This window comes from Homo sapiens, chromosome 11 (genome assembly GCF_000001405.40).
Source record: "Homo sapiens chromosome 11, GRCh38.p14 Primary Assembly".
Lineage (NCBI taxonomy): Eukaryota > Metazoa > Chordata > Mammalia > Primates > Hominidae > Homo > Homo sapiens.
Genome location: NC_000011.10, coordinates 70,608,561 through 70,636,362, shown reverse-complemented (window position 1 = coordinate 70,636,362; position 27,802 = coordinate 70,608,561). Strand labels below are relative to the sequence as shown.

Genomic DNA, 27,802 nt, shown 5'->3' with positions numbered 1-27,802 from the left:
ATATGCACATGTACTAACACGCATTCACACATGCTAACATTCACACGCTCACACATCTGCTCACACACATACTCATACATGTACACACACATGCATGCTCGCATACACGCATGCTCATACACTCAGACTCACATTCACACACACACACGTGCTGACATGCATTCACACATGCTCACGCATATACTCTCACACACACTAGGATGCTGTGCAGCTACAGGGCAGAGACCACGCCTTTGTCGACAGAGTGGTCAGGGAAGGCTCCCCAAGGGGAAGGATTTAGGCTGAGACCTGAAGAGGAGGGTAGAGCTGAGGTGAGGGTGGGCCGGGCACCGGGGTGGTGAGTGCAAGGCCCCACCTGGACCAGGGAAAGACTCTGCGTATTCTGGAACATTCGGGAGGGGTGGATGTGGCAGAGAAAGGGGCGGGCCTCATGCCCTACGGGGCCTTTCAGGCTGTGTCAAGGCCTAGGGCAATGGGGAGCCATTGGAGGCCCTTGAGCAGCAGATGAGCGTGACCGAGGGTTTATGAAGACCTTGTGGAGAGCTGGCCCCCAAGAGATCACAGCCGCCATTTGCTCCATTCACTTCCTCCCCCCTTTTTTTTTTTACAGTTATACTTTGTATTATGTTTAAAATTGTAGTACAGTGCACATACCGTAAAATTTACCATCTTAACCATTTTTAAGTATACATTTCAGTGGCATTAAGTACATTTCCATTCACCATCACCACCATCCATCTCCAGAACCTTCTCATCTTCCCAAACTGAAACTCTTCCCTATTAACACTCATCCCCATCCCCTCCCCCGGCCCCTGGCACCCACCATCCCACTTTCTCTCCCTATGAATTTGACCACTCTAGGGACCTCAGGTCAGTGGAATCCTGCAGTATTTATCTTTTTGTGCTTGGTACATTTCACTCAGTGTAATACCTTCGAGGTTCCTCCGTGTTGTAGCATGCATCAGAATCTCCTTCTGGTTTAAGCCTGAATGATAACTATCCCAACTCTACGGAAACACCACCTTTTGTGTGTCTGTTCATCTGTAGGTGGACACTTAGGTTGCGTCCACCTCTTAGCTACCATGAATAGTGCTGCCACCGTGAACGCGGGTGTGCAGATATCTCTTCAAGACCCCGCTGTCAATGCCTTCGGGCATAGATGCAGAAGTGGCATTGCTGGCTCACGTGCTCGTTCTGTGTTTAAGGTTTTGAGGAGCAGCCATGCCATGTTCCACAGGGGCTGCACCACTTTACCTTCCTGCCAGCGGTGCCCAAGGGCTCCAGTTTCCCCACATACTCACCAGCGTCATTACTTTCTGTTTTAGGATCGTGGCCATCCTAACAGGTGTGAGATGGTGTCCCGTTGTAGTTTGGATTTGCCTTTCTCTAATTGATTAGTGGTGTTGAACATCTTTTCAGAAAAGTCCTTATCAGCCATTTGTATCTCTTCTTTGGAGAAATGTCTATTCAAGTCCTTTACCCATTTTTATTTATTTATTTATGAGACGGAGTCTCACTCTGTCACCCAGGCTAGAGTGCAGTGGCGTGATCTCACCTCACTGCGACCTTTGCCTCCTGGGTTCCAGCAATTCTTCTGCCTCAGCCTCCCGAGTAACTGGGGTTACAGGGACGTGCCATCACACCTGGCTAATTTTTGAAATTTTAGTGGAGATGGGGTTTTGCCATGTTGGCCAGTCTGGTCTCGAACTCCTGACCTCAAGTGATCCGCCCACCTCGGCCTCCCAAAGTGCTGGGATTACAGGCATGAGCCACCTCACCTGGCCAGTTTGCCCATTTTTAAATTAGATTTTTGTTTCTGTTGTTGAGTTGTAAGAGTTTTCTGCACATTCTGGATACTAACCCCTTACCAGATACATGATTTGCAAATATTTCCTCCCATTCTTTAGCTGCCTTTTTGCTCTGTTGATGGTGCCCTTTGATGCACAAAAGTTTTAAATTTTCATCGACCTTAGTATTTATTTTTTCTTTTATTGGCTGTGCTTTTGTTACCAAGAAATTCTTGCCATCCATATACAGACGGACCTTTTTATTCTTTTTTTTTTCTTCAGCAAATCCCAGGCATCGCGTCACTCCCTCTTCCCCTTCAGTCTGTCTCTCACAGCATGGGATCTTTCTTGCGGGCCCCAGTGTCACTGTCCCATCCACGCACCCAGCAGTGGTCTCTGGGTGGAATCTGAAACCCCTCCATTAGCACATGTCCCAAATTATCTCAGAAATGTCTTTTCACGGTGGTGACTTTGACCCAGGACCCACGTGGCACTTGGTAGATATGTCCCCAGGTCTCCAGTCTGAGCCATCTCCCGTGTTTCCTGCCAGCAACGTGTTATAGGGACAGGGTAGGTTGTTAGAGGGACAGGGTAGGTTGGCCATAGGCTACCCCCAACCCCCGATGTGCCTTCTGCCTCCTGTGGTGTCATCGGCCAGTCCTTGGGTCCTTCCCACTTCCTATAAATGGAGGTGAGCTCTTGCAGCGCTGTTAATGTTGGGCCCAGCCACACGCAGGTGCTGTGAGCTTCACACCCCATCTCCCCAGGAGGCAGAAACTGTGCTCGCCACCGCTGTGACAAAAGCTGCACACAGGATCCAGGTGGTGATGGTGAATCCTTCCTCTTGAAGCTCCTCACCGGCTGGTCACCCAGGGGCCTCTCTCTGGGGTGGGCCCTGCAGACATTGAGGAGTACACTGAGGCTTGCAGGCTTGCATCTGATGACTTCCTAATCCTGGCATGCCTTCGCAGTGATGAGCTGAGATTCTTCCATCTCGAAGAACTTTCACATATCAAATAAGATGACTTGGTTAAGCTGAACACTGTTTGTACAAGAAGGCAAGATAAATGCTTAATTCTTTCTTTTTCATTGTCAAGTCTCTCTATAGGAAGCTGATGCTTCAGTGATCTCTACTGATGTCCAGTGAGTTGGTTTTCTATCATGTTGTTGAGGGATGAAGTAGGGTCTTTTTCACTCTCCCTGTGTCTTCTCTGCCCTGGTCTGTCTCTCTCTTCCTCACCAGTATGTCATTATGAACTCAGGATTTTTGTATATTCAACTCAGTGTTATTTATATATATATAAATATACTTATACATGTTTTATATAGAATATATATTATATACAATATATTTTTATGTAATACATATATAAAAATATAACATTTATGTTACGTATATGAATATATGTATAAATATGTTATATATAACATACATAATATATATAACGTATTTATATATTCAACGTGTCTAAATCAGCTGCAGACACTATTCTGCATGGTGCCCAGGTTGCCCATCTGTGCCCAGTGGCAGCCCCCTCATGCCCAGGTCTGGGGATCCCAGGACCTCTCTCCTCAATGAGCACCTGCGCCTGTCCTTGTCCCCCTGCCCCGTATCCATCAACGCTCCATGCAAGGGGCTCACTGGGATTAAAGGGGCCCAGGCTTCTCAGAGACCCAGCTTCCCAAGCCCTCATCTTGCTGAATGATGTCCTTGTCCTCTGTCCTCCCTCTGGTCCTGTCTACTCTTCCCCCGAGTTACCTTCCAGATCAACATGACCTTGTTTCAAAAAATAAACCAATTAGTATGTTCTTCTGCAGCCCGGATGTACCCTCATGCGCCCTTTTCTGGTTGGCTGGCCGGCAGAGTCCCAGCATCCACCGAGTGCTCAGGGCGGGTGGGAGGTAGAGCAGCATGTGGCTGTGTGCCCACATCCCTGGGAGACAAGGATTGTCAGGCAGCATCAGGGAAAATGGTATGTGGGGAGATGATTCTGTTGTAAAAGGCGGTTCTATAAAACAATCACAATTTGGATTGTTATCAAGGAGAGAAAGGAGCCTCTGGTTGAACCAGAGAGGTGGGTCTGACTCAGAAGTGTTTCCCAGACTGCCTTCACACACCTGCAGCTGTTCGGGGCCCGTGATGGAACCAGGAGCAGGGAGCGTGGATAGCATCCTTAAAAGTCCGCCAGTTGGGAGGCTGAGGCGGGCGGATCACGAGGTCAGGAGATCGAGACCATCCTGGCTAACACGGTAAAACCCCGTCTCTACTAAAAATACAAAAAAAAAATTAGCCGGGCGTGATGGTGGGCACCTGTAGTCCCAGCTACTCGGGAGGCTGAGGCAGGAGAATGGCATGAACCCGGGAGGCAGAGCTTGCAGTGAGCCGAGATCGCGCCACTGCACTCCAGCCTGGGTGACAGAGCGAGACTGTCTCAAAAACAAAAACAAAAATGTCCGCTCAGTCCACTCTTCCCTGATTGAAGGACAAATCGCATTCTAATGTTTAGCGTCTAAATGAAGCGTTTCCCAGAACAGAGTGAACCTTTCCATTGTCCTCTGAAAGCATTTCAAAAATAAGGGGGAATCTAATTAGTTAATTTCTGCGTGTGATTCCAAGAAATGTAATATATTTGATAGAAAATTACCTGTGGCAACTGCTTTCCTTCTCTGAGACTTGTGTTTTCCAAGACGGGCGCAGATGGGCGCTCAGCACGGGCCGGGCGTGATCCAATTACACAGCAGATTTCAGACGCCCAGACTTGGAGCTGGGGAAGCCTGGCGCCCTGGGGAGAACACTGCCTGGAGAGAGGCCGGGGAGGTCAGGGGACCCCGACTGCTTTGGGCCAGGCTTCATCCTACAGGCTTTTGTGTTCTTATAACCCCAGCTTGTCATGCAGGAAGCATCCTCACAGACACCCAGCCACATCCCCCACTGCGGGGGCACCTACGCTGTCCTATTCCCAGCGCCCTCTGGGTCACCTTGCCTTGGAGGCCCTGAGCTCAGCTTGTGCCTGGCCCAGCACTCAGTGACTCACTGTCCGCTGGGACTTTGCCGAGTGGATTAGGAGCTGAGACCTCCTCCATGATGGAGAAGGTGGATACCAAGAGAAAAGGACCAGGGACATGGTTTTATTTGGAGAAGGCAGGTGGGAGGGAGGTTGTGTGGGTGTGTGTGTGTGTGTGTGTGTGTGTGTGTGTGTAACTCCGGGAACCCTCAGAATGGCACGGCCCCCAGCAGGCTCCTCCCAGATTCTAGCTAAATGTGCCACTTGTACAATTCTAAGTTGTCATGAGTCTGGGAGAGCCTTAGGCTACCCTCCCCTGTTTTAGGCAACCTGGACCTTATTTGCTTTAGAAAAGTCAGCTCTCCTGTTCCTAAGGCCTCCTGGATGGGGGCCCGCCTCTTCCCCTTGGTGGTTTGCTGGGGTGGGAGTTCGCGTTTCGCGGTCCTCTGAAGGGCTCTCGCTGCTGCTTCTGTCATTCCTGCCGGTCTTCCGTGGCTTCTCCTATGAATGCCACAGCCCTTTGTGGGTCAGATTCCGGAATGCAGGCTCTGTCATCACCCTCTGCTGCCAGTTGCTCCCTGTCCGGTCCCCAGGCCCCGGCTAGTCCTGAGGATGCGTTGGGCGCCGGAGGGAGGGACCACAGGATGCGCAGGTCACCACACTGGCCTCCTACATGCTCACCCTTTGTGCTGGTGTCCTGGGGCTGCTCTCACAAAGGGTTCAAAGCCACCAGCTGGGGCTTGAACAACAGAAGTGTCTCCCCTCACAGTTCTGGAGGCAGAGACCAATGTCAAGGTGTCGGCAGGGCCCTCTCCCTCCAGTGCTCTAGGGGAGGACCCTTCCTTGTCTCTTTCAGCTTCTGGGGAGTCCAGGTGTTCTTTGGCTTGTGGCCACATCCCCCAGTCTCTGCTTCCATCTGCACGTGGCCATGTCTCTGTGTGTCTGTATTTTCCCTCCTTATAAGGGCACCAACCAGTGGACTTAGGGCCCACTTATTCCAGGATGACCTCATCCCAAGTGATTGCATCTCCAGCAACCTTACTTCCAAAGAAGGTCACACTCTGAGGTTCTACATAGACGTGGATTTTAGGGGGACAAAATTCAACCACTACCGTCTCTTTGCTTGAAATCACACACAATTTCCAGAGGCCTAGAGATGCCACTTTGTCCGCAGATCTCTTCCTGGCCCCGCCTCTGCCTGGGCAGCCTGGGTCTGATTGTCCTTCTGTCTGCCACCCTCACAGTCCTCAGCCGTGGCCTGGTTCCTGTCCTGGGGGCTGACCAGCCTTCTGGGGCCTGGGACCTGGGGCATCGCTGCTGCCTGCCGTCTGGCCTCAGGGCACCTGCAAGGTCAGTGCCAGCCCAGCAGGATGGCTGACCTTTCTCTTGCTCTAAGCGTGGGCTCTGCAGCCCACCTCACCCCACTGCCATCAGGGAACCTTCTAGCATAGGGCAAGCTGAGTGGGGGCCAAAGCCCACGGTAGTGCATCTCCCGGACCAGGGCCAGGAGCAAAAGCAGTGTGCATGCTGTCTGCCCCTCTCTGGAAGCCCACAGACGATGTCCTCTCCTGTCTCATTGATAAGCACCCTGGGGTCTCCTGGTCACTCCTAGCAGCCAGGGGAAACTGAGAAAAGGGGTTTTGTAGCTGGGTCTGTTAACTGCCAAGACAATATTAGGGTCCTCATAGTGAGGAAGGGGACTAGAATGGATGTCAGGGGGCCGGATCTGCTGGGGGTCTGGATGGCCAGGCCCTTCATTGCACACTTGGGGAAACTGAGGCCCAGAGATAGGCTTATTGGAGTCAGGGCATTAGAGGGCACCAGGATCATCCAGCTCTGCAGCAGGTGCTCCCTGGTGTCCCGTGCCTCTGGCCCAGGTGGCACCTTCCTGACGGCAGCACCCCCTCTCCCCGGCTTGGAGCTGATGTCAGAGTGCACCTAGCAGTAGCGGCTGTGGCAGCAGTTCGGAGGCCCTTAGGGGAGCTGGAGTCCCCAGTGTTTGCCAGCTCATCCCGCTGCCCTTCCCACCACATGCGGCCCCCAGGGTCACGGTGGCCCGCAGCCTGTGATCCAGACCTCCCTCTCCCGCCAGGCCGGAACCTGCTGGACGTCCGTGTGTCCCACTCCATCAGGCCTGGAGACCCGGGAGGCCAGCAGCAGAGCCACACTCTATTCTGTGTCCTCATCACCAAGCACTAGGTTAAATGACAGAGAACTGACCAAACCCTTCAGAGAGTTCGAAAGAGGCGGTTTCAGTCTGGCTCGCTGCCCCTCTCCCAGCCTTTTCGGCAGCAGCCTGGGTGGTGTGTTTTAGTTGGTGGGGCAGGGGACAGGGTGTGGCTCAGCGGAGAACACACCCAAGGCTCTCTAGATGGAAGGAGGGGCCAGGCTCTTCCGGTGCTGGGATGTGGGGGTGGCTTGGAACACTGACAGAGGAGGGAGGGTGCCCGGGGCGCGTTTCCCCACTGAATTCAGGCTGCAGTGAGCACGTGAGCTGTGGCGCGCACATGCCTGAAACCATCCCTCTCCAAGTGTTGGCGTTTCCCTCCCAGGCTGGAATCAACTCCAGGCTTAAAATTAATTTCTCTTCCGCTCACAACAATGGTACAGCCTCTCCCCAAGTACATCCTGTCTTTGTGCAGAACACACTGCCTTGCCGCGCTGCAGCCCAGAGCCCCAGAGCTGGGATGATTTACCCAGCCAGAGCCCACAGCAGTACTGTGATCCTCTGGGACCTGTTCACTCCCCTAGTCAAGAGACTCTTCCTAGACACTCAGTTTGAGCCTGTCCTGGGGAGGGCAGGTGGGCCGAAACTTCGGCAGCCCCTCACCACCCAGAGGCGGTGCTAACAGCCTGCTGTATGGTGGGTCTCCACTGCCTGGAGCTCGGGAAGCCGGAAGTTGGGGGATGACAGCAGCATCATGATGCTGGGTGTGGAGTGAGCATGGGGCTGGCGTCGAGGCCAGCTCTGCCTCCCATGGGTGGGCCGCCTTAGGCTCCTCCTCTGCAAAATAGGGAGCTGTTGCAGGACATTTCAGAGCTACTATAAGGACTGAAGGAGGCCCCGGGGAAAAGAGCTCTTGATATATTAAGGCACTGCTTAGTAGTGACTATGCTTACTTTGCGAGCAGGGAAACCGAGGCCTGGGTAGGACAGAGGGGGGCACATGTGTTTACTGCCCTCTCCGCCCCCGACTTTGGTGCCATCAGCCTCCACCCCTGCTGCGCCCGTCAGAATTTGGCTTCCACGTTCTGCTCCCGGACCCTCCCAGCCTAACCTGTGGATCCTGCCACACAAAGATGGGCTTACCTGGGAGATCTTCAGTTTTAAGAACTCTCAGCCAGGCATGGTGGGAGGCTGAAGCGGGTGGATCACCTGAGGTCAGGAGTTCGAGACCAGCCTGGCCAACATGGTGAAACCCCGTCTCTACTAAAAATACAAAAATTAGCTGGGCATGGTGGCATGCGCCTGTAATCCCAGCTACTCAGGAGGCTGAGGCAGGAGAATCGCTTGAAGCTGGAAGGCCGCTATTTCAGTGAGCCAAGCTCACACCATTGCACTCCAGCCTGGGCGACAGAGCGAGACTCTGTTTCAAAAAAAAACAAAAAACAACTCTCTTCCTTGCTAGGCATGTTGACCTTGTATAAGGGCACCCTTTGAGGTCCAATCCAGGTTGAGCTCATCTAAAAATCCAAAATCCAAAATGCTCTAAAACCCCAAACTTTTTGAGCATCAACATGATGCCACAGGTATAAAATTCCAAGCCTGACCTCATGGGGTAAGTCCCAGTCAAAACACAATGAAAACTGTTTCATGCACAAAATTCTTTAAATGTTGTATAAAATTACCTTCAGGCTATGTGTATAAAGCATACGTGAATTTCATATTTAGACTTGGGTCCCATCTCCAGGATATATGTGATTATATGTGCAGATATACCAAATGTACATGCAAATATTCCAAAATCCAAAAATATATGCAATCCAGAATACTTCTAGTCCAAGCGTTTAGGATAAGGGCTATTCTGCTGTAGCCACCTGACCTGTAACAGTCAGGACAGCGGGGTTAGGCTGCAGTAGCAAATAATCTCCAGGTTGCCATGGCTTAAAAAAACAAAGGCTTATTTCCTGCTCACTCTCACTGCCCTGTCAGGTCTGCTGGGTGCTGTCCTTTGCCCTCCTCACTTAGGAACCGGGTTGGGTGACGCCCCCACCAGCTGGACCATCATCCATTTATAGTTGCCACATCTGGGTTCAAGGGCAGTGTGGTGGGTGGTGAGTTGGTCTTCATCTTTCCTGGAGTGACACACGTCCCTGCAGCCGCCGGCTCACTTGGCCGCACCTAACTTCAGGAGGGTGGAGACCTGCAGCCCTGTGTGTGCCCAAGAAGGAGGAAAATCGGAATTTTGGGGAACAACTCTAATATCACAAACCTCAAAAACAGGAACCTTTAGTGCTAGAGCGAGCTGTGAGAGGAGACACTTCAGGGACAAAGTCCCCCAACACCATGCCACCCCCACGCCCCCCACCTCCAGGCTCCCATCTGACCTTCACGGCTGCGCCAAAGCCAACCAAAGGGCCTCCCGGGGTCCCTGTCTTGGGTGCCCAGGAAATGAGATACGTGCTGACGGAGGACCTGGGAACCGCAGCCTTCATCCTTGCTGGGATGGAGTCTTTCCTCTTCAGGCTGCCCACTCTGGGCTGAAGAGTGTCATGATGTGGCTTGGGGTGCAGTATTTCTCCACTACAGCAACAGAGGCCAGCTCTGCCTCCTGTGGGTGGGCCACCTTGGACTCCTCCTCTGCAGAATAAGGGGCTGCATCTGGACCTTTCAGGGCTGCTACAAGGATTGGCCTTTCAGAGGTACTACAGGGATAGTAGCCTCTGGTCCAGGGCTGGAGCCATCGGTCTCTCCTGTTTCTTGCAGTCCAGTGGGCTCTGTGGCATAAAGCTTGCCACTCGGCGGTTGTGGGATTAGACCAGATGAGACTGACTGACGAGCTCTGCCTCTGGCCGAGGACTAGAGCTGTCCATCTTTCCTGTTTCCTGCAGTCCAATGGGCTTTGTGGCGTAAAGCTTGCCACCTGGGGGTTGTCGAACTTGACCAGATGAGACTTACCGACAAGCTCCCAAATCAGCCAGGAGCACCAGGCTTCGCTGTGATATGAGGCAGGATTTTTCCCTGGTGTCTCCCTGCCTCTTGATCCCAGTACCAGGCTTCATGCCATAGTCAGTGCAGATATTGTGGGTGATATGTTTGTTTCATAACCGTTCCTAAATATAGAGTGCATGCTAAGTGATATCTAGAAGCCATGTAAAAGAAAACGTTTGAAATGTTTGCAAAGAGGATGAGGCATTGAGTGGACCAGAAAACATGTCTTCCTAAATGGGCCCAGCAAACGGTGCTGCTGGGGGTGTTTTCCGTTGCCAGCTGAGTTGTGACTCTTGGCAACGGTTTCTTAGCAACCGTGTGTGCGGGGTACCATGCTCAGCCGGGATGGGAGGCTGGGACGGAGGCTGCCTGGGAGTGAGAACAAGGCAGCGGAACTGGAGGCGGGGAGGCCCCAGAGGCCTGCAGCCCTCAGCCCTCCGAGCGGGAGGGGCCCCAGGTTTAGAGGATTAATACTCCAGGTCCCACGCTGGCCTGGTGGTTGCCATGGGGTGAATTACTGGAAACTTCTCTTCCTGCATTTTTCCTTCCTCTACAGTGTGTATTTTATGCACAAACGTGTCTTTTTTTTTTTTTTTTTTTTTTTTTTTTCATTTTTGCACAGAGATCCAAGAGGCTGCACTGAGATTTCCCCCAGCTTGGGCTTGTGGACCTCTGGGAGGCAGGGGACTTGGGGAGCGGAGGGGCCTGAGTAAAAGAGGAGAGTGCAGGGACTGGCTCAGAGCCCACATCCTCCACTGCTCAGAGCCTGCTCAGATTTCCTAAGGTCTGGGCCTCAGTTTTCTGATCTAAAATGGAGGGAGGGAGGTCTGGGTAGTGAAGCACCAACTTGATCCAAAGAGAGAGCTAACCTTTGCCTTCACCTCCTGGGAGGTGGTCTCTGGGCTCCCAGAATATCCTGCCTGATGTATGTGTCTCTGTTTGCCTGGGGGCTTTGACTGCTGGACAGTCTGACAGTGTGATTTATGGTGGGAGCTCTGGGTCATGCCACATCAGCTTGGACCTCCAGAAGAAACTGGAGACCAGAAGGATTAGCCCTAACCTCCAGGAGGAGCTGGAAACTAAAGCCCTGCCACCAAGGCAGTGTGTGACAGAGCCCCAGCAAAGACTCGGGACACCAAAGGTCTGGGAGCATCCCTGGCGGCAATGCCCCATGCGTGTTGTCACACGTCATCTCTGGGAGGGACTTATCCCCACTTTCCCAGGGAGGACGGCAGACACCCCATGTCTGGACCCTCCTGGACTCTGCCCCCCACGCCTGCCTGTCCTTGCCTGATCTCAGCCTGGATCCCTTTGCTGTAATAAACCATAACTGTGAGCATAGGTGCTTTTAGTGAGTTCTACGAGTCTTTCCCACAAATCACCAAACCTGAGGGTGGTCTTGGAGACCCCCAGAACTTGCAGCTGGTGTCTGAATTGAGGAAGGGTGGTCTTGTGGGGGCTGTTCTCTCAAACTGTACATTGGCTAAACTCCTGGTGAGAACCCTTGGGACACCCCCCGCAGGCCACCAGGTGAGGGAGCCGATAGAGACCAGGCTCTGGGTGGAGGCATTTCGCAGAGCCGCCCTGCCAGGTGTGGAACTGGGACAGTGTTGCCCCAGGACGACACCGGGGACGTTTCTAGCAGGATCACTCTGCTGCGGGCCCCTCCTGCACACTGTGGGGTGTCCAGCAGCAGCCTGGCCTCTCCCCACTCCATGCCAGCACCAGCCCCCAGTTGTGAAAACCAAGAATGTCTCCAGACGTTGACACGTGGTTCCCTGGTTCCTCCTCTGGTTCCCTGGGGTTTGGGGGGGCACCATCACCCCTGGCTGAGGACTGCTGCCTTAAGGGAAAGACGGTTTGAGGCTTTTTCTTTTTTTTTTTTTTGAAGAAGGTTGTGGCCATGGGAGCATCTCTTTGGAAAGATGGAAATGGATTCTGAGGGATGTCTGGGGGTGAATCCTGGCTCAGGCAGGAGGGGATGGTTGTTCCTCTCTCTGTGAGGGGTGCAGTGTGTCCAACACCCCCTGGCCTCAAGTCTGAGGGCCGCAGAGCTGGCAGGAATCCCTTGGGAGCACCAGGGAACCAGGGGATTGGCTGGGGGCGTTGCTCCATTCCCACCTCCTCCATGGGGGAGAGGGGTAGGATGCAAGCCTGGGAATAAGACCATGCAGGTGACAGCCCGCCCCCATCAGCTCTGCCCTCAGCTCAGGAAGTGGCAGGCATGGTGTCCGTTAGTCCTGCACACTCCCCCGGCCTCAGCCCCTCCTGAGGCTGCAGGCTCCCAGGAAGCTCCGGGCCCACCCCTCCCCTAGGGAAACCAGGGCCTCTGCTCCCAGAAGTCCACACCCAAGGCTGCCCCTCCCTGCACAGGGACGAAGGTGCCCTGCCTCCCATGGCTCCAGTTCTTGGTGGCAGCTCTGGGCGCACCCTTAGCCCTGAGTTGTGACCCATCCTATACCCCAGCTCCCCAGTGGGGTCTCTGTTGCTGTCCACACCCTGCCCTGGCCTGGGAGGGGCCATAGGCTGGAAGAGATGCCCTGGGACCTTCATAATGCTGACAGCCCTGAATTCTCTCTCCTTCCTTGGTCTAAAGCAACTCTGTCTGGTAGAACTTTCTGGAAATGTCCCATGTGCTCGATATGGCACCACTGGCCACACACAGCTACTGAGCACTCAAAATGCAGCCAGTGTGGCTGAGGAGCTAATTCTTAGTTTTACGTATTTAATATCAATTAATTGAAACTTAAGCAGCCGCGGGTGGCTGGGGCTACTGTATCAGACCTCCCATTTGATGAAAACCACCTTCCATCTGGGAAATGAAGGAGCTGGGAAGAATTTCCAGTCCCCTCTCTCCTTCCTTCCTTCCTTCCAGCCAGTCCACCCATATTTCCCAAGCACCTGCCATGGGCCGTGTCCTCATCAAGGGTGCTGTGGGGGCGCAGCCTTCGGGGTGCATCTGGCTGCATGATGGGACAGAGGCAGGAGCCAGGCCAGAAAGAAATGAATAAATAACGATGATCCTCCAAAAGGGCAAATGGTGCGTGGAGCATAAGCAATAGCTGTGCAGTGCTGGCCGGCAGGGAAGGTCGGCAACCTCGGAGGAGGTGGGCTTAGAGCCCCAGAGGCAAAAACCGCCCGGGGACCTGGAGGGGCAGAGGCCATGCACCCAAGTGCGGGAAGGGTGGGAGAGGCAGGCACAGGCCCCACAGGATGTGGAGAGGAATTTTTTTTTTTTTTGATTGAGACGAAATCTCGCTCTGTCACTCAGGCTGGAGTGCAGTGGCGCGATCTTGGCTCACTGCAAACTCCGCCTCCCGGGTTCACGCCATTCTCCTGCCTCAGCCTCCCTAGTAGCTGGGATTGCAGGTGTGTGCCACCATGCCTGGCTAATTTTGTATTTTTAGTAGAGATGGGGTTTCACCATGTTGGTCAGGCTGGTCTCAAACTCCTGACCTCAGGTGATCCACCCGCCTCGGCCTCCCAAAGTGCTGGGATTACAGGTGTGAGCCACCGCACCTGGCTGTGGAGAAGAATTTAGACTCTACTCCCCAGGTGACAGGGTTTGTGGCAGGGAGCAGTGGTGCTTGCGCGTGTGTGTTGTTCAGCTTGTTTGACTTCCGTTCGGAGACTGGATTGGAGACAGTAGGGGGTTGGATGGTGTTCCACAGAACTGTGTCCACTGGGAATCTCATTTGGAAACACGGTCTTCGCAGATGTCCTTAGATGTCATTTATAGTTAAGGATCTTGAGATGAGATCTTGAGATCATGAGCAGAAGGCCACGTGCAGAGGCTGGCAGGTGCAGTTACAAGCCAAGGGGAGGGCACCAGGGTGGCCGCAGCCCCTGGAGCTGAGGGAGGGCCCCGGAACGGATGGCCCCTCCCAGAAGCTTTGGTCTTGGACTGGAGGCCGCCTGAACTGTGAGTGAATCAATTTCTGTTGTTTTAAGCCCCCCAGTTTGTGTTGCTTTGTAACAAAAGCCCAGGACACTCGCACAGAGGGTCAGGAAGCCCCATTGGCGGCTGTTCCACATCAAACACCGGGGTGGAGAGGACTGAGGCTGGGGGTGGTTTTGGGGCACAGCACAGGTGGGGGCGGGGGTTGACATGAGTTGAGTCCTGGGCTCTTCCATACACTGCCGGGCAGCTGTGGGGCCCTTTGCTGAGACGGGGAAGCCTTTGGCAGGCAGGGGAAGTTGCGGTGCTGTGTTGGATTGGAGACGTCCATTCCATTGGACATCCTGCTGGGTTTGGATGGTTCTAGAAGGAGCCGAGGAGTGGTTGACCAGCTGTTCTTGTCAGGCTCACCCACCCCACTAGTGACAGGCAAACACCCCTTTGCCCCAATGTGCCTGGGGCAGCCAGCCCAGCAAGGTGGGCCAGGCCCCTCCACATGGCGCTGGGCTCAGCTCCAGAACCTCCCGGCACCGTGTGGACAGAGCCGGGAAGAGAAACGAGCTCAGAAGTTGGCCCTCACCCCTCCTGTGTGGACAGAAGAGCTGGCCAGGCCTGGGGGTGTGCAGGCTGGGATGTCTGTCGGCAACACCTGTCAGTCACACTTGATCACCTCTGCCATTAAGCCCTCAATCATGCTTTTCTGGGATCATTTATGGGTGTCTCCAGAAGAGTTACAGCAATGGATCATCCCCATGTATCTCCATCATTCTTCCCCATACCCACGTCCTCAGGCAGAGTCTCCCCTTCTACACTCACTTGCCTGGGTTGTTTTGTAATGTAAGCAGCCACGCATGGCTGGGGCTACCGTATCAGACCTCCCATCTGATGAAATCACCTTCCATCTGGGAAATGAAGGAGCTGGGAAGAATTTCCAGTCCCCTCTCTCCTTCCTTCCTTCCACCCAGTCCACCCGTATTTCCCAAGCACCTGCCATGGGCCACGTCCTCGCCAAGGGTGCTGTAGGGGCACAGCCTTTGGTGTGCATCTGGCAGTGTGGTGGGGCAGAGGCAGGAGCCAGGCCAGAAAGAAATGGGCAGATGGTGTGCAGGGCATAAGCAATAGCCATGCAGTGCTGGGCTCCAAGCTGGTCTGGGTTCTGCTTCGCATGTTCCACCTGTGACCTCAAATGAGTACCCTGGCCGCTCCTGCCTCGGTTTCCTCATCTGCAAAATAGTGATCAGGACAAGAGGGGCTGATGTCTTATGACACTTAATCTCCTCAAGTGTCTAGGACTGCCCCTTGGACACCCCAGAAATTGGGTCTTCCTGGGAGGTCAGAGCAGGCTGCCCAGGGGCTGCTGTCATTGATGTGAGCCTGTAGAGGTGAAGTCGGGATCACACCCTGCCCGATCCCGGTGCCTTGGTGCCTGAGCTTTCATTTCAGCCCCCACAGCCTTTGAGGCAGGTGCTGTTACCATCCATCCCCATTTCAGATGGAGAAACTGAGGCCTGTTGTGGTCACACAGATATTACGTCATACCGGACCCCACATGTCTTATTCAGTTTGGGTTGCTGTAATAAGGTTCGACAGACCAGGGGGCTTAAACAAGCATTTATTTGGAGACTAGAAGTCCCAGATCAAGGTGCCAGCAATTTGGTTCCTGGTGAGGGGTCGCTTCCTGCTTATAGGCAGCTGGCTTCCTCACATGGCAGAGAGAGGAGAGAGAGAGAGTGTGTGTGAAAGTGCCACCAAGCTCTCTGGAGTTTCTTCTTATAAGGACACTAATCCCATTGGATCAGGGCCCCACCCTTATGACCTCGTATAACCCGAGTTACCTCCAATAAAGGCCCTGTCTCCAAATGTGTCAACATAGGAACTTGGGGGGATACAGACATTCAGACGGTAACAACAGACTCCACATTTTGTCTGGGGGCAAGACAAGCCTTAATGCAACAACCCAGATAGTTGTGAAGGAAGGCGCCCATGGTGGGGGTGGGGGAGACCAGGCGGGGCAGGCAGCCTCCAGGCCCACAGGCAACTGCATTTCCACAGATATTGGAGCTCTGTGTGTTTCTTGTAATAACGATGGGATTACCTGTTCTGCTTAATTAAGTACTTCATGGACAGCCACCAAAATCTCCATTTCTCCCAACTCAGGAGGTTTCTAAAAGGCACAAAACAATTACATTTTTGTTCTGATGAGGCCCCGGCAAGGTAATGATTCTTCTGCCTTGGGAAAGAGAAGAGCCAGCCGGGCTATGCAGAGGCCTCTCCCCATCTCAGACACCAGGAAGCATCAGCTTGGTGCCGTGGACCGAATGTCTGTGTGACCCCCACACTCAAATGTTGGAACCCTAACCCCCACCAGGATGGTGTCAGGAGCAGGGCCTTTGGGAGGGGGCTAGGGCTTGATGAGGTCAGAGGGTGGGGACTCATGATGGGATCCGTGTCCTTATGAGAAGAGAGAGGGAGACCAGCACACCCTCTCCCAGGATAGACATTCTGTTCCAGTCTTAAACAAGGTCCTCAAGTGTCCTTCTAAGTTCCGGGGTACTTTGTGGCTCTTTTAAAACTCTCCCCTCCTGCCTCCCTGAGCATCAGTTAGCAGAGCTGAGCCCCAAACGTGCTCCTCCAAGTCCCATGGTAACAGAGGTAGATTTCACACTGGGCAGCGTCTCACCCTCCAGCATCCAAGGGCCTTGCTGTTATGGAGGCCTCCTCCCTGTGAGCCGGCACTGACTAGCACGCCTCATGGAGGCAGCCAGGACAGCCCCAAAGAGAATGAGGGAGATGGGGAAGAGAGGGGCCCTGAGGCGTTATCACTGCCTGGAAGGGTCCCTGGGCAGCCTCTCTGCAGAGCCCAGTTGTGCCTGCCAGTGGCCAGCTGAATAAGGGTCCCCAAGATGTCCACGTGCTTATCCCCAGAGCCTGTCGACCGACTGCCTTCCATGGGAAAGGCGGCTTTGCAGATGCAATGAACTGAGGGATCTTGCTGCAATCAGGAGGTCATCACGGATCGCTTAGGGGGGCCTGAGTGTGACCACAGGCGTCCTTATAAGGGGGAGGCAGAGGTAGATTTGATGCATGCAGGGGAGAAGTCCATGGGACCCCCCAAGGCAGAACTTGGAGTAATGAACCCTCAGCTAAGGAACGCCAGGGGTCCCCAGAGCTGGAAGAGACAGGAAAGGACCCTCGCTGAGAGCTTTCGGAAGGAGCCAGCCCTGCCAACGCCGCTCTCTCAGCCTCCTGAGCCCTGGGTTGGCCCTCTGACCTACAGAACTGGCACGTAAGAACATTTTTGTTGTTTTAAGCCACTAAATTTGTAGTAATTAATTACAGCGAGCAATAAGAATCTAACCCAAGGGTGGTTGTCAGGCTGAAATGATGAACCCTCAGGAAGTCCTTAGAGTGTCACAGGCTGGGCTGGGGTCCGCCTCCCCTGGGCAGGGCCATGGGCAGAAAGCGGGGGTCCTGAAGGGAGATCGAGCCTGCAGGACGAAGGGTGTGGGTAAGGGACTGGGGCGGCTGTGCACGGCACCTGCAATGATTCACCCCGTCCATCTCCTGGCCATCTGCCGGGTCAGCCTGTGTGTCCCCTGTCCCAGAGAAGCTCGCCTGCCCTGGATACGCCTCTCAGGGTTGCTGGATTTGTTCCATTTTAACACAAAGGCCCTGGAGAGCCAGCCTTGGGTGGTTTCCGGGCCTTTCCAGGGTCACCTGCCCAGTTTTCCAAGCTCAGGTTTATTTTTATTCCACACAATGACAAATGCTCAGCATAGCGTGATGAGGGTAAGCGGCGGCCAGGGTTTCCGCATGGGCTGATTTAACCCAGAAGCCTGCGCCTTGCTCTCCCAGTCGGTGTTAATTAAGCTGGATTACCGTATTCACAAGCTGAAATGCCTCGTAATTCTGCTCTAAGTAGCCAGCCTTGTGTTTTATGACTTAATTACTGAATCCGAGCCATGCACATCACCTGCAGGTGAGGCCAGGCCTGGCTGTGGGCAGAGCCAGGGGCCATTCATTGGAACCTAGGGCGGGGTGGCCCTGGGATTCTAGAACGTTCCTTCCTCAGATGGTTAGGCTAGACATAAATGGCGGTTAACTCTGGAGACTTTTGTCCTTTTGTTCAAAGACTTTTCCCTCTCAGTGGGTTCATTCTGACCTTCTGAAATCACCCCTGCACGAATCACATCAGAATCAAACATTTCTTTTTTTTTTTTTTTTTCTGAGACCGAGTCTTAACTCTGTTGCCCAGGCTGGAGTGCAGTGGTGTGATCTTGGCTCACTGCAACCTCTGCCTCCTGGGTTCAAATGATTCTCCTGCTTCAGCCTCCTGAGTAGCTGGGATTACAGGCGTGCCACCACGTCTGGCTAATTTTTGTATTTTTAGTAGAGACGGGGTTTCACCATGTTGCCAGGCTGGTCTCAAACTCCTAACTTCAAGTGATCCACCTGCCTCGCCCCCCAAAGTGCTGAGATTCCAAGCGTGAGCCACTGTGCCCAGCCTGAATCAAACATCTTTTTTTTATTATTATTATACTTTAAGTTTTAGGGTACATGTGCACAACGTGCAGGTTTGTTACATATGTATCCATGTGCCATGTTGGTGTGCTGCACCCATTAACTCGTCATTTAGCATTAGGTATATCTCCCAATGCTATCCCTCCCCTCTCCCCCGACCCCACAACAGGCCCCGGTGTGTGATGTTCCCCTTCCTGTGTCCATGTGTTCTCTTTGAATCAAACATTTCTAACATGCTTGGCATGGTAGACGTTTATTCAGAAAAATACTGTTTTTCAGAGTTTTGGTCATATGCACGTGGGGTAAACTCCACCTTGATCATGAAAGCCTCTTTCCCTCATTCCGGCCACCTTCTTCTCCCGTTAACTCTGAACTCGAGCTTGCTCTAGGCTTTGTAGGTCCCGTGGGGTTCTGAGGGTTCCTATGCTTCCCGTGGCGACAGCTGCGTCTGCCCCCTAGCTCTGCTCTGAAGCCCACGATCAGCTCTGCAGAGGCTCTGACTGCCCGTTTTGACAAATCTGCTCCACCTCCCCACTCCGTTCCTCGCGTTTCTTTCTTTTATGGCAGGGCTGGGTGAACTCTGGCCTGGGGGCCACATTCCATCCATGACTGAGTTTCTGAGGAAGATTTTTACATTTTTAAAGGGTTTTAACATGCATGTACATGCACTACACACTCACACACACACACACACATACTCTCTCAGGCACTGACAAACATACACCATCATAGACATTGACACACATGCACTCTCAGTGACACACATGCACACACACACAACACACTCAGACACTCACACTCACACATTCATAGACACTGACACACACACACAGACAGCTCACACACCCTTTCAGTGACACACATACATTAGCATACTCTCAGTCACACTCACACACATACACACTCTCATAGACACACACATATACACACACTCAGACACTGCCACACCTACACACACACTCATAGACACACACGCTCATAGGCACACACTCAGTGACACACAGTGACACACAACACACTCTCAGACACTGTCTCACACACATACACACACACTATCATAGACACACACAGGAGCACACACGGCTCTGCCCCTGGCTGCTGCACCCTGTGGCCCTTTGCGGGGCATTTGTCATCTCCTCTTCCTCAGCGGCCCCTGTCGGGGGACGCCCCGCAGGCTCCCCTCGCCTGGGGACTGGTCAGGAGCCAGCCTGGCAGGAGTCCCCTGGGCCAGGGAGAGGCTCTGGGCCACCCCAGCCTGGAAGTACTCCCTTCTGGCACTCCCAGCCTTCACCCAGCAGCCTCCGGAGGCCTCAGATCCCCCCACACCCCACCCTGCCTTCCTTCTCAGGTGTGAATGTTTTAACCCTCAGGAGAACTTGCTCAGGACCCAGCACTGGGCACCAGGGACCTGGTTCCAGGGTCTGTGGGGAACAGTGCCTCCTCTGTCCTCGTGGCCTGGCCCTGCCTCCCTCATCCCTGGACTTTCAGCCTCCTGAGTTGTCTCTGCCTCCCCAGTACCACCCAGCGCCCTCCTCGGGCGGTCCTAGCACTCGAATTCACATCCTCTGCTCAGCTCACCCTCTGATCTCATTGTAGGCCCCAACTCAGAGGTGCCATCCAGGCCCCTCCCAGGCTGGGGAGGGCCTCCTCTTGGGGTCCCTGGAGCCAGTTCCGACAGCCCAGTGTGGGGTCGCCAACAGACGCAGGGCCTGGGCCTTCTGCTCATTGAGACTTCTCGGGGACCTTCAGCTCAGTAGCTACTTATCGGAGCAAGGAGCAGTCGGCCGTGGGGTCCGTTCAGTTGCATCATGTCAAACTAGCAAATATTGAACTCTTATCAACCTACAAGAATGGCAATCTCATGTGCCCCCCATCCTGATGAGCAGCTGAGGCCCTGAATGCAGGGAAGGGCATCCTAACGGCAAGGACAGTGAAGGGAGGATGGGTTCCAAGGCCTCTGTCCATTTCCCAGAGGCAGGCTCTGGTCTCGGCATCCACGCTGTCTGCCACTCCTTCCTCAGCAGCCCTCTCAGGGACAGCTGGGGTCTGAGTGGCCCCAGTAAATGCTGGTGCCCACCCTCACCTCCCCACTAACCAACAAAGAGACAGACCGAGGATGTAAGAGCCACAGAGAGCAAGTTCCTCCCTTGTTGCCAACAAAGCCAATACCGGCCAAGGTGGCTTAGACCTGTGGGTGGGTGGGCTTCCTTCTACCACCAAACCCCAGGATTGGACTGAATGGCCTGACAGCTCTGCCCCAAGGTGTGGAGCAGGTTCACCACGCGCCGCTTACCACCTTGTCCTAGCCTGGTGAGCCAGCCGCCCACACAGCGAGTTCCATGAACTGGTTCATTGCTTACAGATATGCAGCAAGGGACAATAGAAGCCTGGGATTCGGCCGAGCCAGCCTGTAAGGCTCAGGAAAGCTGACCGGAGTCTTGACTGCATGTGCTCCCTTGCGCCGCCACTAAGGGACCCTGGAAAGCAGCTCCTCCTGGGTTTTATACCCCGGGGCCATATGACTTTTGGACTAAAGTGTTGATGGACATCATGTTTCCGGGGAAGACTGGGACAGAGCTCAGGCTATTCCAGTCAGCCCTCCCTCTCTCGGGGTGTTGCATTTCTAGCACATTCTATGGTTATTCTTAAGAACTGAAAGCAAAAGAGAGGGGAGAACTGGGCTCGTCCAAGGCCACCTAGAGGACAGTCCCACACCAGGTATCAGGCCCTCATCACAGAGTCCACCAGGAGGAGCGGGGTGTGGGCTGCATTAGGCAGAGGTGTATAGGCAATGTTCAGCTTCTCCTTCTAGGCCCACCCACTGTTCTCCACCCCCTACTCATTCCCCAACAGCTCTTGGTTCAGAGGGAGGCTGAGTGTTGAGTTCATGATCCCCCTCTGCCATCGGAAGATGTCTTCCATGAAGCATTGCAGATGGCATGTCCACGAATGGGTTCTGTGCATGGGGGGAATCCAATCTAAGCAGGCTTCTCTTCTTTCCTTCCTTTTGCCTTTCCAGTTAACCCATTAAAGCAAGGCCCTGGGACCACAGCCCCCCAGCCAGGAGCAGCATAGCTGCCCACTTCCTCTTCCCTCTCCAGAAACCTCTAACACGGCCATGGGGACATCCAGTACTCCCGTGTTGTTAAGTTAGTGGGGAGGGGAGGCCTGCAGCCCTGTGTTGAGAAGGGCTCAGAGGCTCACCCCAGGCTCAGAGGAGCACACAGACTCTTGGAGATCTGCAGAAGGGCTTGGTCATCCTTGCTCTCACAGCAACAGACCCAAGGCCTATTTGGTCACTGAGACAAAGACTGGAGGATGGGATGAAGGAAGGGCCTGGAATGCTGCTTGTACTTATTTCTTAGGGCTGCTAAGAAACCACAGGTTGGGCTGGACATGGTGGCTCATGCCTGCAGTCCCAGCATTTTGGGAGGCCAAGGCAGGTGGATCACCTGAGGTCAGGAGTTGGAGACCAGCCTAGCCCATATGGTGAAACACCATCTCTACTTAAAAAATGCAAAATTAGCCAGGCATGTTGGGGCACGCCTGCAATCCCAGCTACTCTGGAGGCTGAGGCAGGAGAATCTCTTAGAACCTGGGAGGCGGAGGTTACAGTGAGCTGAGATCACGCCACTGCACTCCAGCCCCAATAACAAAGGGAGACTCTGTCTCAAAAAAAAAAACAAAACCCACAGACTGTCTGGCTTAAAACAGCAAACTTTTACTGTGTCATTGGATGCTGGAAGACAAAGGTCAGGGTGTCAGCAGGGCAGCGCTCCCTCCAGAGGCTCCAGGAGGCCCTTCCTGGCCTCTTCCAGCTTCTGGTGGTGCTGACACTCCTTGGCCTTCCCTGGCTTGCGCTGCCTGGCTCCAGTCTCGGCCTTTATTGTCACATGGTGGGCTCCCTGTGTGTCTGTGTCCAAATTCCCCTCTTCTGGTTGGGCGCAATGGCTCATGCCTGTGATCCCAGCACTTTGGGAGGCAGAAGTGGGCAGATAATTTGAGGTCAGGAGTTGGAGACTAGCTTGGCCAACATAGTAAGACCCTGTCTCTACTAAAAATGCAAAAATTAGCTGGGCATGGTGGTGCGTGCCTGTAATCCCAGCTACTTGGGAGGCTGAGGCAGGAGAATTGCTTGAACCCGGGAGGCCGAGGTTGCAGTGAGCTGAGATTGTGCCACTACACTCCAGCCTGGGTGACAGTGTGAGACTCCATCTCAAAGAAAAAAAAAAAAAAACAAGTTCCCCTCTTCTTACAAGGACAGCAGTCATTGGATGTAGGGCCCACCCTACTCCCCTATGACCTCACATTAATTGATATCTTAATTACATCTGTAATGACCCTCCTTCCAAATAAGGTCACCTCCTGAGATCCTGGGGTGAGGACTTCCACACCTCTTTTTGGGGGACACAGTTTAACTCATAACACTGCTGCACATGGCCAGGTCTTCCAGAGCCTTTTGAGTTTCTACACTTTGTTTTTAAAAAAAGAAAAACATGGCCGGGTGCGGCGGCTCATGCCTGTAATCCCAGCACTTTGGGAGGCCGAGGTGGGCGGATCACGAGGTCAGGAGATCGAGACCATCCTAGCTAACACGGTGAAACCCTGTCTCTACTAAAAATACAAAAAATTAGCTGGACATGGCAACGGGCGCCTGTAGTCCCACCTACTTGGGAGGCGGAGGCAGGAGAATGGCATGAACCTGGGAGGCGGAGCTGGCAGTGAGCCAAGATCGCACCACTGTACTCCAGCCTGGGCGACAGAGCAAGACTCCATCTCAAAAAAAAAGAAAAAAGAAAAACATGAAAAAAAGTCCCAAATCTTGCAACCTCTTTAGAAAACAGTAGTCATTGCCCACTAATATGAAAGACACACCTGCTGTGCAAACCAGCATGTGACTCCATGGCACACACCCCTGACACATTCTCCCACGTGGGCCAGGAGACACACACGAGAAGTTTCCAAGCACCTCTGTTCATAACAGCAAGACGCTGGAAATGATGCAAGTGCCTGTGAACAAGAAAGGATCCGGATGCCGTGAGTTGCTCACACGTGGAGTACAGTGCGCTGGTGGGAGAATGAATGAATGCCAACTGCATTCATCAAGGCGCGTGAATCTCAGACATGCTGTGGAGGGGAACGTGGAGGCCACAGAGGAATACATAGAGTCTGATATTGCGTATGGAAAGTTCCAAAGAAAAAAAGGCCAAAATGATATCTGTAAAATTTGAAAAAAGGCAAAGGGAATCCATGTATTGTTTAAGGAAGTGAGCAGGTGACAGTGAGTGCTAGATAGAGCGCGGGAATTGCACGCGCAGACCCCGGGTGCCTCTGCAGGGAGGAAGGTGGCTGCCGGGGGCCGCTGGGGGCTTCTGGAGCGTTGAGCGTTTTGCATTTTTCTTCGTGGAGTTTCGTTTAACCTTGCCTGTACAGTATGCATACTTCAGGGATGAAGTTCCATCAGAAAGTATGCATGGATCTAAAGATATTCGTAATTGTACAAAGAAGGCAAAACACCCCCAAGAATATGTATGCACGCATGCATATGTGTATGTATACGTGTACACACGTATGTAGAGAAACCCAACCTTTCATGCCTTCGCCTGCAGCTGTACCTGGCGAGAGATGCAGCTGCTATCAGGTAAATGGCAGGTGCTTGTTCATCTTGCCTCTGTCAGAGATGGGGGCTACAGGTAGGCTTCCTTTCCCCTCTGCGTTTCCCTGATCAGCCCAGCCCTGATTCTCTCCTGCCCAGCACGTGTGAGTTCCCATACTCAGCAGCAGGACGCCTTCAAAACCCTTATTAAAGTCCTCTCTGTGAGAACACACATCCCCACAGGGGCCCCACCACCAGCACAGACCCCTGGTTCCCAGGCAGGAGTCGCAGGCAACTTCCCCACCACCCCATCCAGCTCCCCTCCTGGGCCTGTGTCACGCCCGGACGCCGCCTCCTTCCTGGATCTTGGGCAGAACGCTCAAGACGCTCCCCTTCTGTGATGCCTTCCCAGTGTTCACGCCCCTCGCCACCCGCCCCCCCTCCCCCACCTCCCATGGCAAGTAAATTTGGAACGAGGCTTCTCGTTCCCTTTCAGCAGCAGCCCAGTTTCACACTGCTGAGTGCTGCAAGAACTGAAAATTGCCTTTTTTCTCCATTTTCAGTAGAAACGAAGGCAGTTTCCTAAACTCCCCCATTCATCCTGGAAGGCCCATCCTGGGTGCTTGACTACCTAGAAATTCTTCCTAAATGGCTAGAGGAGTGAAGGAGTCTCAGACGACACCTCCACCAGGACACCCTCCCATCTTGCCCTGGGGCCAGTGGGTCCCTTCCCTTTGTACATTCTTAGCCTTTTTGAAATCATGGTTTGAATTAGACCCAAAATAAAGAATGGAATGATAAATGCAGAAGTAGCCCTTAAACCAGACACCCTCTGTTTCTGTCCCATGTCACTCTGTCCTTCCAAACAGCCCAGAGGTGAGGCAGTCCCTGAAGGATAGGACGTGGGTCGTGGGGTGGTAACCAAGTACCCAGGGCTGCCATGGGGCATTGCAGGGAAGATGGGGAAGCAGGGCAGGTGGGGAGCAGCCCAGGGCTCTGGCTGGAGTGACGATGAGTTGAGAAAACTGTCGAGGAACGGGTAATGCCACAGCCCTGCAGGCTGCTGGCCCCGCCTCACCATCCCCACAGAGAACAAGGCCAACACCAATAGGTGTCCGTGAACATGCCCTTTGCAACACTGATAAACTCCCCTTTGTGAGCTTCTGCCAACCAGCCTTTTCCTGCAGTTTTAGCACCAGCCTCAGGAAGTGGCATTTGCGCTTAAATCTGAGAACCTCCAAACTCCTTTTGAAAGCTGCCACTTTTCTTGCATTCTGAAGCGTTGGCTTCACATGTGAAAAGGCAATTCTTGGGTTGTGGAGATTTTGAAAGGCTGCATTTGCCTCTTAGTCACTATGGCTCTAGGTTCAGCCTTTTTCTGGACGTTCAAAGGGATCAGGGTGCATCATTTGCTGGTTTTTAAAGAGGCTGGAGCTCTTCTGATCACCGTGCCCCATAGTTCCATATGGAAGCAGTGTTCTTCAAAGGACCATTTGTTTTTCAAATTCAGAGAGTTTTGAGCTCAGAAAGATTTCCGTCATTCTTGGCATGAGTCCTGTGGATCCCCACAGGCCCTGGAATGGAGTCTGTGGGCTCTGAGAGCTGCTTAAAAGATGCAGAAAGCCCAGAGGGGCCGGCAGGGGTGCCTGGTTTTCCTGCACGCCAGCCCCATGCCGTGTTCTGTGCTCTGGGCTGGCATTGTGCCGGCTGCCCCACGGAATTCTCCGGGCCTGTCCCATCCGCTGGAGCCGATCAGCAGCTCTGGCTGGCTTTCATTAATATAAAACGGAGAGTCGAGGATTACTTTACAAATGTAGCCTGCTTGGAAAACCATCATCCTTGGATTCAGGGAGAGAAGAACAAAGGCCAGCAGCCTGTTTCTAGCTTCTGAGTTTGCATGGGAGAAGCTGAGATCAGGGACAGTGGGACTGGCCGGGGGCACAGGCGTGTCATGTGCCACCCTGACTGACAGACCTCCTGGCCTTGGCATCAGTGGCAGGAGCAGGTCACAACATTAGACTCATAAAACCAGGCAATAATTCATTTTTTTGCAGCTGAGCAGCAAGAGGGGACTGGGAGCTGAGTTTGCACGCCTCGTATTAAGAGGTGAACAAGCCTAAGAACAGGCAATGCTGATGGAATTTTAGGGGCACCAAAGCTCCCATTGGTCCCATAACTGTTTTCTTTTCATTGTGGTCAAATACATGTAATGTAAAATGTGCCATTTTAACCATTTAAAGGGGGAATAATTCAGTGGCATTTAGTACATTCACAAGTCTGTGTGACCACCACCGAGACCTAGTTAACCGCCCCAAAAGGAACCCCGAACCTCCTGGCAGCCGCTCCCCTCACCCCTCCCTGGTCCCTGGCCATCCCCAGTGAGCTTTCTGTCTCTATGGATGCACTGATTCCGTATATTTCCTATAAATAAAATCACAGAATGTGGCCTTTTACGCCTGGCTTCTTTCACTCGGCGTCATGTTTGCAAGGTTTATCCCTGTTGTAGTGTGGATCTGTGTCTCATTCCTTTTCATGCCCGAATTATATTCCATAATATACATATTCCATATTGTATATTATGGAATATACAATATAGATATATTATGTATATCTATATACATATACAATATACAATATAGTACATGTATATACAATATGCAATATAGTACATGTATATACAATATACAATATAGTATATGAATATACAATATACAGTATATACAAGATACAATATACAGTATATACAATATACAATATAGATATATTATGTATCTATTCCATTCTATCATATATCCCGCATCATTTGTACGTGCCACGTTTTGTTTGTTCATTCACCAGTGGATGTGCGTTGGGGCTGTTTCCACCGCCTCTCGGCCATCACGGATGGGGCTGCTCCGAGCATGGCTGTGCGTGCTTGTTTTTGCCTCCCTGTGTGGTGGAATTACTGGGTCACATGGTGGTTGGGTGTTTAACTTACTGAGGAACCTCTGAATGCTTCCTGTGACCCATGCTGGTTTCTTCACACGCCAGGTCATCATCTTTCTGGGGGTCTCTAATTTGAACAGATAAAGCCACCTCCTGGGGCCTCCTGTGACCCTGCAACAGGAGTCCTCGGATTCTTCCTCTTTCGCTTTGAAACCATCTGCCGTCAGACCTAGCCCAGGGCTGCCTTTGTGTCTGATTCCTCTGTTGGGTGGGCCGTCCCGGAGCCTTGCCTCAGCAGCATTGTCCGAGCAGGGCTTTGAGAGGTGGGAGCCGGCCAGGCCCTCTCTGGGCCGCCCGGTGCCACAGGTCCGTGAACAAACAACGCGACCACTTGCTGCAGCTCCACGTGGCTGGGCCCTCCTGCCAACAGGTTTCCCTTGAGACGTCTCCCGTTTCATCCCAGGGTTTTCTTGATTGAGTCCCACTGACCATGGCTAAGCGAGGAGCGAGCTCTCTCTGAGCAGTGAAATTAATTAGCATGGGTTTGTGTTTCCATTATCTCGTTATTCAAAACCGTGCCACATCTTTCCAGAGAGTTCCTGGGGACTGTGTTGTAAGGGTTATTTATAGCCGCTGGAATGAGGTTTTGCGTAATAGACCGCGTTTAGCTGAGAGGTTTGTAATTTGAGATCAATTCTCTGATCGGCTGCACACAGATGAGACTAAATAGCACGAGCTTTCGGCTGTGAATGGGTTTCCGGGAGCCCGTGGCCCTCACCCCCGTGTCGAGGTGGGTGAAGCAGGGAGAGAGGCCCTGAGGAAGCAGCGCTCCTGCGGCTGATGGGGCCCAGGCTCGGCCAAGAGGAGGAGGGACAGTAGCTCTCAGTGGCTCCCTGCTGCCGAGTGCTGTGTCCTGCCC

The 27,802-nt window shown here is 53.1% G+C and overlaps 1 protein-coding gene and 1 long non-coding RNA gene across 34 annotated transcripts in view, besides 3 other annotated features; one reads left to right on the top strand and one right to left on the bottom strand.

The window, feature by feature from the left end:
* The window catches only part of SHANK2 (SH3 and multiple ankyrin repeat domains 2), a 785,381-nt gene that overhangs the window by 616,872 nt on the left and 140,707 nt on the right, over positions 1-27,802 (top strand). The gene's annotated exons all lie outside the window — the stretch shown is intronic.
* Positions 873-9,799, bottom strand: SHANK2-AS1 (SHANK2 antisense RNA 1). Of its 2 annotated transcripts, none has more exons than NR_174950.1 (3): positions 9,340-9,799; positions 4,433-4,586; positions 873-2,789 (listed from the first exon to the last, which is right to left on the bottom strand). It is a non-coding gene; the product is annotated as an SHANK2 antisense RNA 1 (long non-coding RNA). The 2 variants fall into 2 exon arrangements; NR_046567.1 differs by lacking the exon at positions 9,340-9,799 and adding an exon at positions 5,129-5,269 and having other exon boundaries at positions 873-2,829.
* Positions 16,285-17,099: an enhancer, noted in NCBI's record as "H3K27ac-H3K4me1 hESC enhancer chr11:70465369-70466183 (GRCh37/hg19 assembly coordinates)". NCBI's record gives its function as "activates a minimal SCP1, AML or CMV promoter by ChIP-STARR-seq in primed H9 embryonic stem cells {active_cell/tissue: H9 hESC(primed)}" and the evidence as "EXISTENCE:reporter gene assay evidence [ECO:0000049][PMID:30033119]".
* Positions 17,100-17,915: an enhancer, noted in NCBI's record as "H3K27ac-H3K4me1 hESC enhancer chr11:70464553-70465368 (GRCh37/hg19 assembly coordinates)". NCBI's record gives its function as "activates a minimal SCP1, AML or CMV promoter by ChIP-STARR-seq in primed H9 embryonic stem cells {active_cell/tissue: H9 hESC(primed)}" and the evidence as "EXISTENCE:reporter gene assay evidence [ECO:0000049][PMID:30033119]".
* Positions 23,978-24,741: an enhancer, noted in NCBI's record as "H3K4me1 hESC enhancer chr11:70457727-70458490 (GRCh37/hg19 assembly coordinates)". NCBI's record gives its function as "activates a minimal SCP1, AML or CMV promoter by ChIP-STARR-seq in naive H9 embryonic stem cells {active_cell/tissue: H9 hESC(naive)}" and the evidence as "EXISTENCE:reporter gene assay evidence [ECO:0000049][PMID:30033119]".